This window comes from Homo sapiens, chromosome 11 (genome assembly GCF_000001405.40).
Source record: "Homo sapiens chromosome 11, GRCh38.p14 Primary Assembly".
Lineage (NCBI taxonomy): Eukaryota > Metazoa > Chordata > Mammalia > Primates > Hominidae > Homo > Homo sapiens.
Window position 1 is genome coordinate 19,927,799 of NC_000011.10, and position 14,572 is coordinate 19,942,370.

The 14,572-nt window shown below is 44.4% G+C and overlaps 1 protein-coding gene across 46 annotated transcripts in view; it reads left to right on the plus strand.

The window, feature by feature from the left end:
* NAV2 (neuron navigator 2) overlaps window positions 1-14,572 on the plus strand; it is a 776,366-nt gene that overhangs the window by 582,563 nt on the left and 179,231 nt on the right. For all 46 annotated transcript variants that reach the window (XM_017018520.3, XM_047427824.1, XM_017018522.2 and 43 more), the window contains 2 exons: window positions 5,378-6,479; window positions 11,863-11,975. In XM_017018520.3, coding sequence (XP_016874009.1) covers window positions 5,378-6,479; window positions 11,863-11,975 — 1,215 coding nt within the window. The remainder of the gene's footprint in view (window positions 1-5,377; window positions 6,480-11,862; window positions 11,976-14,572) is intronic.

The following is a 14,572-nucleotide window of genomic DNA, read 5'->3' on the forward strand; positions in this document are numbered from 1 at the left end:
AGTATATCTTGATATTTTTCAGTTTAACATGTGGAGAAGTGGCTGTTTATTGGATGGCAATATATCATTCTTACTGTGTTTTTACTATGTGGTCAAAAATTGTCACAGCTACTATTTTAAAATTACCTTTGGCTCAACAAGGCCTGATCATGTTTCCAGAACTGGCAAAATATCACATACTACACAAATATATAGAAATAAATAAAGCTCTAAAAACTAACCATTTCAGGTTCGTTTTGAACCTAGTCCTTATTTGAGCCTTCTGGTTTGATTTCTATTTGGTTGATTACGTTTTTCAAAAGAACACATTTAATATGAGTATATCTTGATTTAATGTAACAGTGTTTCTCCCACTTCAGTCTTACATAAAATTTCTGCGTGATTTTTGCCAAATCTGTGAGCCACTTGTGTTTTTTATTTGTATTTTCCTTAAACTAGCTCAAATTTTAAATCTACATTTAATATCCATGAAACTGTTAATTTATATATGGCTAGTTATCATTTTCCAATATGTTTCTAATATATCTAATAAGCAATAAATATGACTTTTAAAATATAAAAATATTCATGTGCCATCCAACACAATCTCATCCACTTCAGTGGCCCACATATCATCATTTGGGGGATACAGATGTTCAAAACATTCTTTTATGCTTTTCTTTTTCCCCCTTAGGTTCCTTTGCTTTAACAAAGGTTCAGATATTTGAGGAAAATAACAAGAGTTGTTAGTTATCAGGGAAATAAGTGCTTTTCATTTTGAAGAACTCACGCCACCCACCTTCCCCCAAACTGGTTTTCATAGGATACTAGCATTTCTGAATTCACAAGCAGCTCATCTAATGTTGACCATACCTTGACCCAGCCGGTTTTCTCCATCAAGATTGGAAATCACCCAGCTGCAGGGGTCGTCTCAGAGACTTGCCCAGATTTGAATAGAAGCAAGGCTAAAAGGACACTAGAGAAATAGCTCATCCTCTTTCTAACAAATGGGGCAACTGAAGCCAAGAGAGGCAAAATGGCATATCTAGGATCACGCCATGAGTTGGGGACAAAGTTCAAGGTCCAGCCTACCCACCCACACCTCCCCTTTGTTTAACTTACTATCTGAGAAGCCTGTTGAGGAAAGCTTCATGCTAGGAGTCATAGGACCCCAGGATTAGAAATGGACAAAGAAGGCCAGGCGCGGTGGCTCACACCTGTAATCCCAGCACTTTGGGAGGCTGAAGTGGCTGGATCCCTTGAGCTCAGGAGTTTGAGACCAGCTTGGGCAACATGGCGAAACTCCATCTCTACAAAAAAACACACACACATACACAAAAATTAGCCAGGTGTTGGTGGTACTCGTCTGTAAGGCTGAAGCTGGAGAATCACTTCAGCCTGGGAAGTGGAGGTTGCAGTGAGCCAAGATCGAGCCGCTGCACTGCAGCCTGGGTGACAGAGTGAGATTCCATCTCAAAAAAAGAAAAAAAGAAACAGACAAAGGGAGGAACAGGCCCCAAACAGCCACTCAGCCAAGCTCTGAGATCACTGGTATGATATCCTAGGAATGATAGAAATGTATCAAGTTACTTTGTACAAGACCACTCATGACTTGACATACCCTTCATGTCATAGGGGACTTCTGGCTGTGACATGAGTGTAGAATGTTGATGACCTGGTCCTCAGATGCCCTAGTGCCCCCTATCTAGCACCACTCAAGACTCCTGCTCTAGAAACCAAATTCAGAATCATACCCAGGTGCTACCTTTTATAGTCGTAATGAGTAGCCTTGAAATGCCCCCATGACTTAATAACCAGGGGAGCCCAGACTAAATACTACATAGAAATTCTGATTCTTTGAGTTTTAATCTGAATTTTTTCCTGAGTTTAGGCTTAAGAGTTTTAATAAAACCCTAAAGACTCATCACAAATCCTACATCTCTGTTACCTTAAATATGACTTGCAAATGTCAAAATTACCCACCAGCAATTCATAAGTATCTTTATGCTCCAGCAGGCTTTAGAACACAAAGATGAGTCAGGGCGGGGAGTCTCTGTCCTGGAGGAAATCCCAGACCAGGGGAATAACTGACCTATAGCAGAAGCACCACGTGGTAACACAAGGATCACTTCCTCCAGGAAGTTTTCCCAAACTCTTCAGAGGGAATTAGTAGAGTCTACTAATTCTCCAGTTCTCATAGCACCTCATAGAGCCCTCTACCACTTTTTACACTGTTTTCATGGTTTGTTTTGAGGTCCATTGCACCCTGAGACAGTGAGTTCTAGGGGGCGGGAGCTTTATTCAACTCTGTGTTCCCAGAGCATTGTATAAAGTAGCTGCCCCTCCAAAATCATTCTATGGAAGAGGTATGGACGGAATCCTAGTGAAGCACAACAGTAGGGGAAAATGTCATGTGATATAAACCAGGCCTGAGAGTCTCAGATGGCCATTTCACCAAGACAAGCCAAGTATCTGTTTTCTTCTGGGTCAGTTATTAGCTACTTAGTTGGTTAATTTCTAGCTGCGATTGTTAGTGTTAAAAAAAATAGAAATTATAGTGGAGACATCCATTTCTGAGCAAGCCTCAGAGTAGTTCCAAGCGGTAAGATCACATTGATCCATGTACACGTGGGGACTATGCCTAAAACTTCTTTAGGAAAGAGGAACATACCTTTGAATGTGATCTTGTAGTTCCTATAAGGACAGTGTTGCAACCTGCCCCTAAGACCCCCGTCCTTTTCTTTAGCACTATTTTTTAACAAATAATATAGTTTATTTAATTAAATTTATTATCTGTTCCTTCTTGCTAAAATGTGAACTCCATGAAGGCAGAGATTTCTATCTGTTTTTTCATCGATGGATCCCAAGTACCTAAAACAGTATCTGACACATATTAGGAGCTCAAAGAATGAATAGATACATATGAATGAATATACTGAATGAATGAATGAAAACTTTACATCTGCCCCAGATCTAAGTTCAGGTAAAGGGAAAGGCAGTTTTCCTAGGAGGAGTGGTACTCAGGATTGGTGGGTTCACTATTATTTCAGCCAGAGAGCCATCCTCTGTGATGTAGGCTGCTGTATTTCAAATGGCAGGGTTGGTTTGTACTCCACCATGGATGTCATGAACATACATAAGCTAGTAGAATGCGCAGTTCCTAAAAGTGCTCTTGTTGTTTAAGTGGCTGTTTACATGCATTCTTCATCGAAGGAGGTAGCTATGACACCATGTCAGGAGACCTGAGTTCAAATCCCAGATATCTGCATTTCTGGCTGTGTAATTTAGGATTATTCTTTAGCCCTACCTAAGTCTCAGTTTCCTCACTCTTAAAATAGGGGCAGGAACTCCTTTTCACAATGTGCTGAGCACTGAGCCTCCTGACACCAAGCAGGCCGCTGATGGGCAGCGTCAAGCCTGTAGCAACCCTCTAACAGGCCAGCAGTGTGGGTGGGTTCTCGGAGCCTGATTCCAAGCCAGTCTCCCCAGGAAAACATCCAACAACACCCCTTGAGTTTTGTTAGGGAGGATTGTGAGGCACCCTCCCTCCAAACCCAAATCCCCAGTAAGTCAGGAAGATATATGTGTTTTAAAACATTGGGAGGTCTGCTTTGGATCACCCTGGAGCTGTGGCTTCCCCGAGCAGCTGAGAGTGAAAGGAGGCAGTTCCTTTACTGTGAGCTCTCACGGCACGGTGCTCACGCCCCACACAGGGGCTGCCTTCACTCGGCTTCAGCAGCCGTTGACTTTTAAATCATAAAAAGCCGCTCTATATACAGTTTACTCTGTTGCTAGAAGGCAGTGGAACATAGGTATTTAAAAAAAAAAAAAAGCAGAAGAAGCAGCCGTTAATCCCGCCAGGCTTCTGGGCACTGGAGTAGTTGTGGATGACAAAAGTTAATTAGAAACATGAGCAGTTTAACCGAAAACACTTGTGACAATTGGAAGGGCAGCCTCTCCGGTTGGAGGATTTTTCCTAGGGAATCATTGCAGGAGAAAGTGGCTGCTGCTAGGTAAGTCATGTCATTGTGAGTTTGCAGATGCAGAGGTGCTTTTTGGGGGGCTGAAGGGGTGTATCCTGTCTGCCGTGCACACTGGGCATGGGGTGTGGGTGGGTGCGGGCACGGGGCCCAGTGGAGACGTGCTTTGCCTGGCACTTTCTCTCCAACAGCTGTCCTTCCTTGAGAGATAGGCTGCATCATCCGGGGCACTGACTGAAGCAGGGTGCTGCAGTTTCCATTTCTGTCACATTGGCCACCTTGGTGACTAGCTGTTAGTTTGGAGCCTGCCCTCACTAGAACAATTCTGGCTCTAGTTTGGAAGTATTTTGAGGCTTTTCTGAGAAAAGAGTCTGGCCAGGGAAATACTCACTGAGCGCCAAGGGGAAGCCTTGACTTTCAGATAACCTGTGTGTTTTCTGGCCCACAGTGAACCCATTGCATAGATTACACTCTTAAGCAAAAAAAAAAAAAAAAAAAAAAAAGAAAGAAAAGGAAAAAAAAAAAGCTGTTTTTAAGTCCAACCTGAACCATGTTTGCAACGTGTTTTGGTTTTTTGGTTTGTTTGGTTTTTTTCTGAGACAGAGTCTCACTCTTTTTCCCAGGCTGGAGTACAATGGCATGATCTCAGCTCACTGCAACCTCTACTTCTCCTGCCTCAGCCTCCCAAGTAGCTGGGATTACAGGCATGTGCCACCACACCCAGCTAATTTTTGTATTTTTAGTAGAGACTGGGTTTCACCATGTTGGCCAGGCTGGTCTTGAATTCCTGACCTCAGGTGATCTGCCCGCCTCGGCCTCCCAAAGTACTGGGATTACAGGTGTGAGCCACTGCACCCAGCCATTTGCAACTTTTAAAAAGTGCCAGCATAGGAAAAACTTACATGCTTTAATAGGCTTTAACAACTTTTGTGTGTAATTATTCTTTTTTAAAGATTCTACATGGTTTCTCCTTCTTTTCTATTTTTGTAATTGTTGTATTTTAATGTCTCTGATACATTGTTTGCTTAAAGTTGGATAATTCTTGATTCTTTCCCATAATTGGGAAACAGGCTATGGGATGAATAATTGAAAACGGTAGGTATTTCCTACTCTCTCCTGCACTGGCTGTATTAACGGTGCAGGTGTCTGTTAAGATTTGTTAAGACCTGCATGCTTTCACGTGGCACATGCCACCAAAATGTGATGGGGTTGGGGGGATGTGAACTGTGCAGTATGGAAAGCAGGAGGAAGTCAAGCCAGAAATTAAAACCTAACCACAGATAATCCACAAAGTGGGCAATGGAGCTATACGGCATTTGGGTTGGGAGTGATTGGTTGTGTGGCCATGGCTGACCCTCCCTGGTCTTCAGTGCAGGTCAACAAGTATGATTCAGGCCTCCTCTCTTCTGTCTCTGCAGAGCCTTTGGCAAGTTCAGCCTCCTCCCACCCCGGAATGAGTGACAATGCACCTGCTTCCTTGGAGAGCGGCAGCAGCTCCACCCCTACTAATTGCAGTACCTCCTCGGCCATCCCGCAGCCCGGTGCAGCCACCAAGCCTTGGCGCAGCAAATCCCTCAGCGTGAAGCACAGTGCCACGGTATCCATGCTCTCGGTCAAGCCTCCTGGGCCTGAGGCCCCCAGGCCCACACCTGAAGCCATGAAGCCGGCCCCCAACAATCAGAAGTCCATGCTGGAAAAGCTGAAACTTTTCAACAGTAAAGGGGGCTCAAAGGCAGGTGAGGGGCCGGGGTCCCGGGACACAAGCTGTGAGCGGCTGGAGACTCTGCCCAGCTTCGAAGAGAGCGAGGAGCTGGAGGCCGCCAGTCGCATGCTCACCACCGTGGGCCCTGCTTCCAGCAGCCCCAAGATTGCACTCAAGGGCATTGCCCAGAGGACTTTTAGCCGGGCACTGACCAACAAGAAGAGTTCTCTGAAAGGCAATGAGAAAGAGAAGGAGAAACAACAGCGGGAGAAGGATAAGGAGAAAAGCAAGGACCTTGCCAAGAGAGCCTCTGTGACGGAGAGGCTGGACCTCAAGGAGGAGCCAAAAGAAGACCCCAGTGGAGCAGCTGTGCCCGAGATGCCAAAAAAGTCCTCCAAGATTGCCAGCTTCATCCCCAAAGGGGGGAAGCTCAACAGTGCCAAGAAGGAGCCCATGGCCCCTTCCCACAGTGGAATACCAAAACCAGGAATGAAAAGCATGCCCGGGAAATCCCCAAGTGCCCCAGCGCCTTCCAAGGAAGGGGAGCGGAGCCGGAGTGGGAAGCTGAGCTCAGGACTCCCCCAGCAGAAGCCCCAGCTGGACGGCAGACACTCCAGTTCCTCTTCCAGCCTGGCGTCCTCAGAAGGAAAAGGCCCAGGAGGGACCACCCTGAACCACAGCATCAGCAGCCAGACTGTCAGTGGGTCTGTCGGGACCACCCAGACCACAGGAAGCAATACCGTCAGTGTTCAGCTACCTCAGCCCCAGCAGCAATACAACCATCCCAACACTGCCACGGTTGCACCTTTCCTGTACAGGTAGGAGCTGCCACCCACCTGTGCTGCCTGGGACATTGGGTAAAAGTTCCTTTATAGTGGATTCCGGGTCTGTAAGGGCAGAAGCTAGACTGTGCTCCAGGAATACTTAAGTCAGTAGCTAAGAAACCACGTGATGAACTCCTAAGAGAAGCAGACACAATGTGCTCCAGGGAGCAGTTCATACAGCACAGGTTGGGGAAGGAACAGAGAAAGCTGAAGAAGGGAAGTAAAATGTGAGCTGATCCCAGGATGCATAGGAAAGTGGGGACCCCAGGCCTTGTAGCAGCAGCTTCCCTGAGCAGAAAGCATGAAGGCCTAAATATGAGGGTGGGGGCGGTTTGGTGTCACCCGACAGTCCCCAGCATTAGTCCTAACACATCCCAACATACTTAAAAAATAAATAAAATAATAAACACCTGGCTCAATAACTAAGATTTCTTATAGCAGGGATTGCCTTGAACATCCAGATCCTCACAGTCCCTGCTGAGTGCTGGGGCTTTCTGAAGGGAGAGGGACATTGGGGAGAAGAGTAATGGTAGGGGAGGGGCTGGTCTAGAAGAACAAGAGCTCATGTTCTGAGGAGATAAGCCTGGGTGTTTGTGGAGATGGATGGATCCTTCTGTCTTTATCTGTCCCCTAGCCCCTGTCTCTTTGATGGCACATCCTCAGGACCATGGGAGACTGTGTGGAGCCAGTCCACACAGTGGTGCTGCTGCTCTGTGTGATTCTGGTCAGCGACATTGCTCATTGCTCAGGCTACACCACACCCCTTGCTGAATGAGGCACATGGGATTCAGGGGCCACGTCATACACATGGATGAGTCCACTCCAGGCAGATGGAAGCTCCCCAACCCCTGCCCTTAAAGTTCTTATCATTCCCAGAGCTTTCACTGACAGTGCCTGATTCGATCCTGTGCTGGAGATGAGCAGTGCATTTGGCCACATTGCACAATTGGATAACTAATACTTGTACACACAAAAGAGGATTAATGATCAAGTGTCACATTCTAGACACGTATTTTACAGTTGTAACTCAAGTGCATACAGATGCACAGCTGTACACTCACACTCATACAGCCATACATGTGGACACACATTAAAAGTCACATATAAGCATGGACACAAGTATACATTCATACATAAAATGCAAAGGCACATGTGCATACCCGTATTTACATACCTGTTCAGGTGCATAGGTGCATGCCCAGACTTTCAGCTTGCTATGTTTGTATGATTCCCCAAAGAATTCGATATTCCCTCTTTCCTCCTGAGCTGTGTTCTAGTGGTCTCTGTTACAGTTCCTGCCAATAGCTGGTGGAGGGACTGGCTTAAGTGCTTTCAAAGGAAAGCCAGCCAGCACCAGGCCAGCAAAGGAATGTCAGGCATTGCACTCCTTCCTTTTGTTCTGCTTGCATTCTCCTTCAGTGAGGGTCATACCAATCTTTTTAATTGGGAGAAGGTCTCATTTTATTGAATCAAGTCATCAGCTCAGCTCACAATCCTGAGAGAGCACCAGGGCTTAGATAATGACTCAGCTGGTCTACATACACGGCTTTTGTTTTGTTTTGTTTCTGTTTTTTTTTTTTTTTTTTTTTTTTGAGATGGAGTGTCGCTCTATCGCCATGGCTGGAGTGCAGTGGCACCATCTCAGCTCACTGCAACCTCTGCCTCCCAGGTACAAGCAATTCTCCTGCCTCAGCCTCTCCTGAGCAGCTGGGACTACAGGTGCATGCCGCCATGCCTGGCTAATTTTTTTTTTTTTTTTAATTTTAATACAGACAGGATTTCACCATGTTGTCCAGGCTGGTCTTGAACTCCTGAGCTCAGGCAGTCCACCCTCCTCAGCCTCCTAAAGTGCTAGGATTACAGGCATGAGCCACCGCGCCCAGCCATGAACTGTTCTCTGAAGTGTGGAGGCAACTAAATAGCTCCATATGAAATTTTTATAATTCCAATAGCATTATTAGTCTTAAGGTAATACATATTCAGGATTCACAGCTTCTCAATTTGCATTTTCAAAATTAAAATATGACAGTCTTTGATCACCATCAATCCCATTCCTTCTTTTTTTGTTGTTCGCTATAATCATTTGAAAGATTATAAAAGATATAACCTTTTTTTATTTCAAGCTTTTCTATCAGAAGAAAAAGTCTTAATGATAAAAAGCAAATGTCTGACAAAGAGGAGGAAGAGGAAAACGTCTATGATGTGGATCTGACTAGCCCCGTTTTTACGTTAATGCCCACTCTGGGTAACTAACGTCCTTCTGTCCCCTCTGAGTTGCCTTCATCTTTAGGGTAGTCTGGGAAGTGACGCTGGAAATAAGAGCACCAGGATACGAATCAGGACACCTGGGCCCTGTCCTTTATCAGCCCTTGGTGCCCTCTGAGGTCTTCGGCACTGGCTGCAGGAACAGGTATTGATCGAGTGTGGGTACAGAGTCCGCTAAGGGCTTTCCACATCTTAGCTCACTTCATTCTTCCCACACCTCCATGAGCTAGCAGCTTAGAGGTAATTAAGCAATTTGCCCCAAGTCACAGAACTAGACTAGAGGGGCTCATGTTTAAAACCAGGTGTAGGCTGGGCATGGTGGCTTACACCTGAAATCCCAGCACTTTGGAAGGTCAAGGTGGGCAGATCACTTGAGGTCAGGGGTTCAAGACCAGCCTGGCCAACATGGTGAAACCCTATCTCTACTAAAAATACAAAAATTAGCCTGGCGAGGTGGTGCACGCCTGTAGTCCCAACTACTCCGGAGGCTGAGGCATGAGAATCCCTTGAACCTGGGAAGCGGAGGTTGCAGTGAGCCATGATCACGCCACTGCACACCAGCCTGGGCAACAGAACGAGACTGTCTCAAAAACAAACAAACCAAAAAGCCAAGTCTGTCTAACTAGTGAGACCAGGCTCTTAACCACCAGTCTTGACTCTAAATCACTTTATCTTTATTGTCTTCATCTGGAAAATGAGAAGATTGGATTAGATTAGATTCTATAAAATGGTTTATTCTCCTTTTCTGCTCTAAAATTCTCTCCCTCAAGCTTATGGTTCACTATATATAACTTATAATTGCTCCCCCCCCGCCCACCAAAACCTCTCCATGTTAAAGTTGTTACCAAGGAGTAAAGGGAAGATGGGTCATTTTTTTAAAAATCACTCAGAATGAATTATATTTATCAATTCAGAAGTAACAGTGGATTCATCTATCACTTTATCACTTTATAGTTTACTAAGAGTTGTGTGTCACATCACCTTTCATTTTTATAGAACCAGAGGAGATTGCTATTATTATCCCCATTGTACAGATGAGGATGCTGAGATTCAAAGAGGTGGAGTGACAACTCAAGTTTTGCATGGCTAACAAGTTATAGATCTTAGACCTGGAGCTAGTCGAATATTTAGACTTCCAAGTCTAATGTTCCTTCTAGTACCTAGCATCTTCTGAGACTTAAACATTTCTTATTTATCCAGTCAACACACCCTTCTTGCGTTGCCTGTGTAGCATATGAACTTGAACTAACCTTTGCCTCTGAAGAGCTCTCAATCTAGTTGAGGAAAGATTTACATTTTCGCCAACAGGAGAATAAGGAGAGTGCTATAGGATCACATTTTAGCCAACAAGAGAATAAGGAGAGTGCTGTAGGAACTCCTGGCAAGGAGTCAAGGAAAGCTCTCAGGAAAAGATGACATGGAAGCTGCATCTTAAAGACAGATTAGCAGCGAACTAAGGAAGGAGGAGAAGGGCCTTTAGGCAGAGAGGTTGTAGTTACTGCAAAGATAAACCTGTTAAAGCCATGTGGAGAGAAGCCACATGTGGGTGCAGCATAGTAGAGTTGTATGTAAAGAGTTGGAAAGGCAGGAGATGGGGCTGGAAATAAAGGAAGAATGTGGCCATCATCTACCACAATAAGGGGTTTAGACCTTATTCTGTGGGTAATGGAAACCACCGAAGACAGTGATGTCATCACGTCAGTATTACAAAAGTCAATGAAAGATCGTGTGGGGAGTAGACCAAACTTAGGAAGAGTGTAGAATGGAGATCACAGATTCAGATGCCTAATTGGCCTCTAAATGGTCATCTAGATGGGTGGCTCAGGGTGAGTGGGCCTGTGGCAGAGGGAGCCACGCCTCTTTAGAGGGTGCAGCCACCACTTGGCACCAGCAGGTGGCGATCTGCAATAACAAAGACAGTCCTTTCCAAGCTTTATTGTTTTTACTGGACGAAGGCAGAAATGCAGATATTTATTGTGAAATATCCCGATTTTTAAATGTTGAACTAATTTTAAAACTTTAAAATATTATGCAGACCAGTAGGAATAAGTTGGGCTGGTTTCCACACCGGGCTGCCATTTGTAACCTCTAGGTGTGAGGTACCTGTTTCAAAGTACTCATAAGGCCTCAGCAGAGATGATGAGGGCTTGGACCCTGGCTGGAGGTGAAAGGAGCACAGGGAGTATGAAATCCTTTAAAGGTAAAGATAACAGAATTGAGAACGATGGCCTCAGTAGGAAGAACAAAGGAGGGAAGAACAGTTGGATGACTTGAGGTTTATCAGTACATCCCCCGTGGTCCATTCTCATTCTGGGCAAACGTTTTCTTCACAGGTAGTGAAATCGGTTGAATTAGTTCAGCATGCCAGTGCGTTAATAATGTTACATGCAGGGTCATGCATCTGAGTGTAATTATGCATTTGCATGCCATGCCTGAATGAGCAGAGGTAGCTGTGACAAGAAAACATTGCATGAAGCTGTTGCTTCAATTTGCTTGACAAATAAGGGCATGGAGAGGGTTTGGGGAAGTACAGATTTCAGTCAAGTGTTGAAATAATGATCAATGAGACCTTTCATGTCAGAAGAACTAAGCTCTGAATCAGAGACCTGGAGGGCAAACACACCTGCTTGGCACCCACTTCCGACTGGTTTTATGGTCACCTTTATAGAGAAAACCATGTCAGGAGAATTTTGGGGTGGGGGAGCTGTTAATAGAGTCATCTTTATGTTTGACTTGTTGGCATGGCTGGTTACTTAGAAGCTGTTCTTTGGCATAGGTTAAATTATTCAAATCACCCCGTACCCTCCAGCATGTGTCTGGCTAGACCTAGCATCCTGACGGAGGTTCAGAGAAGCATTCCCCAGTGAGGGATTGCAGACCCTCCATCTGGGCAATGAAAAGTTTATCTTTTACAGTTCAGCGGCTCTCTCTGTTCTTAGGACATTGCTCCACATACGGCTAATGAATTATTTAGCGTCAGTCTGCTGGTCCACTCTGTTCTGAAGCTTCTTGCTACAGGAGGTGATGGTGAGGGCTGTGGTTAGACCACAGTGGTCCAGATGTGGTAGTTGCCTCTCATGACAAGTGTGTCTGCTTCGGTTTGTGTGTGAAGGTCTCAGACGGACACTGAAGGGAATGTTACTGCCGAGTCAAGCTCAACAGGTGTGAGCGTGGAGCCCAGCCACTTCACCAAGACTGGACAGCCTGCTCTGGAAGAACTCACTGGTGAGTATGGAGCCTCAGAAATCTGTGTCTGTTGGTGATGAGGCCTTCCACGCAATACCTGCTGGAACAGCATGAACCCAGCTTGATTACGAGTTGCATTATGTTTGCATTGACTTTGAGCTAAACAAACTTTCTTTCTTTTTTTTTTTCCTATTATTTTTCTTCTTGTTTTTCTTCCCTTTTCTCTCCCTCTTACAGTTTCTTCCCTCCTCCCCAGAATCGTAAACAAGTCTCTTACTGGTGTGCAAATCCTATTTTTAAGATACGTTCAGTTTTATTCATTTAGGGGCTCTGGACTGCACTGATACTTAACTTTGAATCTTCTTGTTTACTCTTCAGATAAAGTTGCTTTTCAACAAGATTTAGAATTCTAAAATAGTGGATTTCGTTCCTGTATGGAAGCACTGATTTAAAATATGTTCTTAGAGTCCTATGTGAATTGGGGGGGAAAATTGTAACATGCTTCTTTTTACCAGAAACAAAAAAAAAATATAAATTTTATTTAAATGTAATGTAGACAATGATGATTACAGGTACATTATACTGTATGACGGCATAAAATCCACAGTCGTTGTATAGTTAATTCTGCAAGCATTTATTTTTGGACACTATACTATCGCATTCTTAATTAAAGAAGAAAAGTCACACCTTAATTAGAATTCTTACTACGGTGGATTCCAGGCTGCTATCTTCTCTGTCTCTTTTCCCCATTCCAAAACTCTGTGTCCCAAGCTCCAGCAGCTTCTAGTCAGGGAAATGAGTGGTAAGCCATGGATTTATTAGTGGCTGTGTCATTCTTCTCATATCTTACCACTTCCACAGTCGGGTTAAAAACTGAATCCAGGCTTAAAATCCATTTATTGAACTGAATATCCCTGACTACAGCATTTTAATAGCCACATTACAGCTGTGGAATTGGTCTGCAGCCCAGTGATTGAACCTTACCCATCTAGCAATTAGCCCCAGTGATTAATTTCAGAGGATTCTGGTTCCACTGCCTGGGCACGGTGATGGTGCAGAGATTCTTCAAGCCATTTGTAAGCAGTCCATCTTAGAATGATTTGGGCCCCACATTTGGGATTGATTTTGTTTCCTTCTCTTCAAGGTTTGTATCTTTCTTTCATATGAGTACATGGATAGCACGGGAAAAGGACCAGCAATGAGAAGGGTGTGGAGTTCAGATGGCTGCTCGAGTCTCCATGCACATTCCAGATTGTGTTCTGATGTGCAGACATCAAAAGAGCGAGGCCAACGCTTCAGATCCCAGCATGGTTCAGATGTGTGGCCCGTGGAGCAGTGTGGATTCCTGTCAGATGCTGAGTCTCAGCAAAATCCACATTTGAAAAGCAAAAGCAGGAGCCGGAGAATATTCCAAATATTACTTAGATTTCAGAGTGACAGATTGCAGTGTGTGATCTTCCCCTAATTTTTCTTTTTATCTCCATGTCTCCCCTGTACCAGGCCTTAAGAGCTCAGAAACCCTGAAATGCTGTCAATCGGCTGCGGGGAAGAGACTGTGCAGCCAGTAGTGCTTGACTGTGCACTCTTTGGTGTCAAATCAAATGGGGTTGGTCGCTAACAAAAATTCCTTATCAGGGTGACATGTCTTTATATTCAAGCAGTAGAAGTCACACATGTGACTATGTTGAATTTTTTTTTATGGAGACACTGAATAATAAATAGCATGAGGTTGAATTTAACTTACCCACAGCCAATCCTTTGAAATGACAGTGCATGGTAGGACTATTTAGAAATGGACATTTACATAACTATTTGATCAATTGCTTAGTTCTTCCTCTTACTTATGCAAATGGGTGGGTTTTCCTATGGTGTGTGGTCATGTACAGAGCCTTACAGTTGAGAAATGCATCTTGCATGATAGAATTGAAGGAACCACACACACCTGCTTATCATACTGCTCATGAATTCCTTCTATAGCTTACTGAGGACTCATCTTTCAGCCTCTGCTTGAATATTTCTTGGACAAAATGTTGTTCCTTCATAAGGCAGCCCTTTACTTTTTTGCTGTTGTTGACGGCTTCAGCAGTTAATGGAGTTCTTTATTCTTACATTTCCAATCACCGGATATAATTCAGCCTTCTGAAGCCCCAGTTTTCATTCTTTTTCATGTTGTAACATATCCCTTAAGGTTTCTTTATTTCCAAGTAAAAATCCTGGATTTTTTCCATGGTCCTTTTGTAACACTTTGATATCCTCCAAGCTCAGTCATATTTGGTCACAATGCGATGCTCTCCCAATCATGACTAGTGGCTTGAGGTAGAGCCCTCCTTGGCAAGGTCCAGATCGCTACAGGTAGACACTAAAGTTTTAAGACCTCTCCATATCTGTGAGCTGAAAGCTCCCTGCTGTTTCCACTGGAGCTCGATTGTGTTTTTATTGTGTTCAGGCTGTGAGTTAGTGGGTATATCCTACATTCAGGTCATTGTCAGAGGAGGCATAATTGGCAGTTTAGAACGTGATCACCTAAGCATGTCAGGTGGGTTACTGTTTTGTGTTCCTACATTGCCCTTGGGATCTGATGTAGAGCCCTGGAGGAAGGCAAATATTTCCCAGCACGACCCACAAGAGGGAAACAG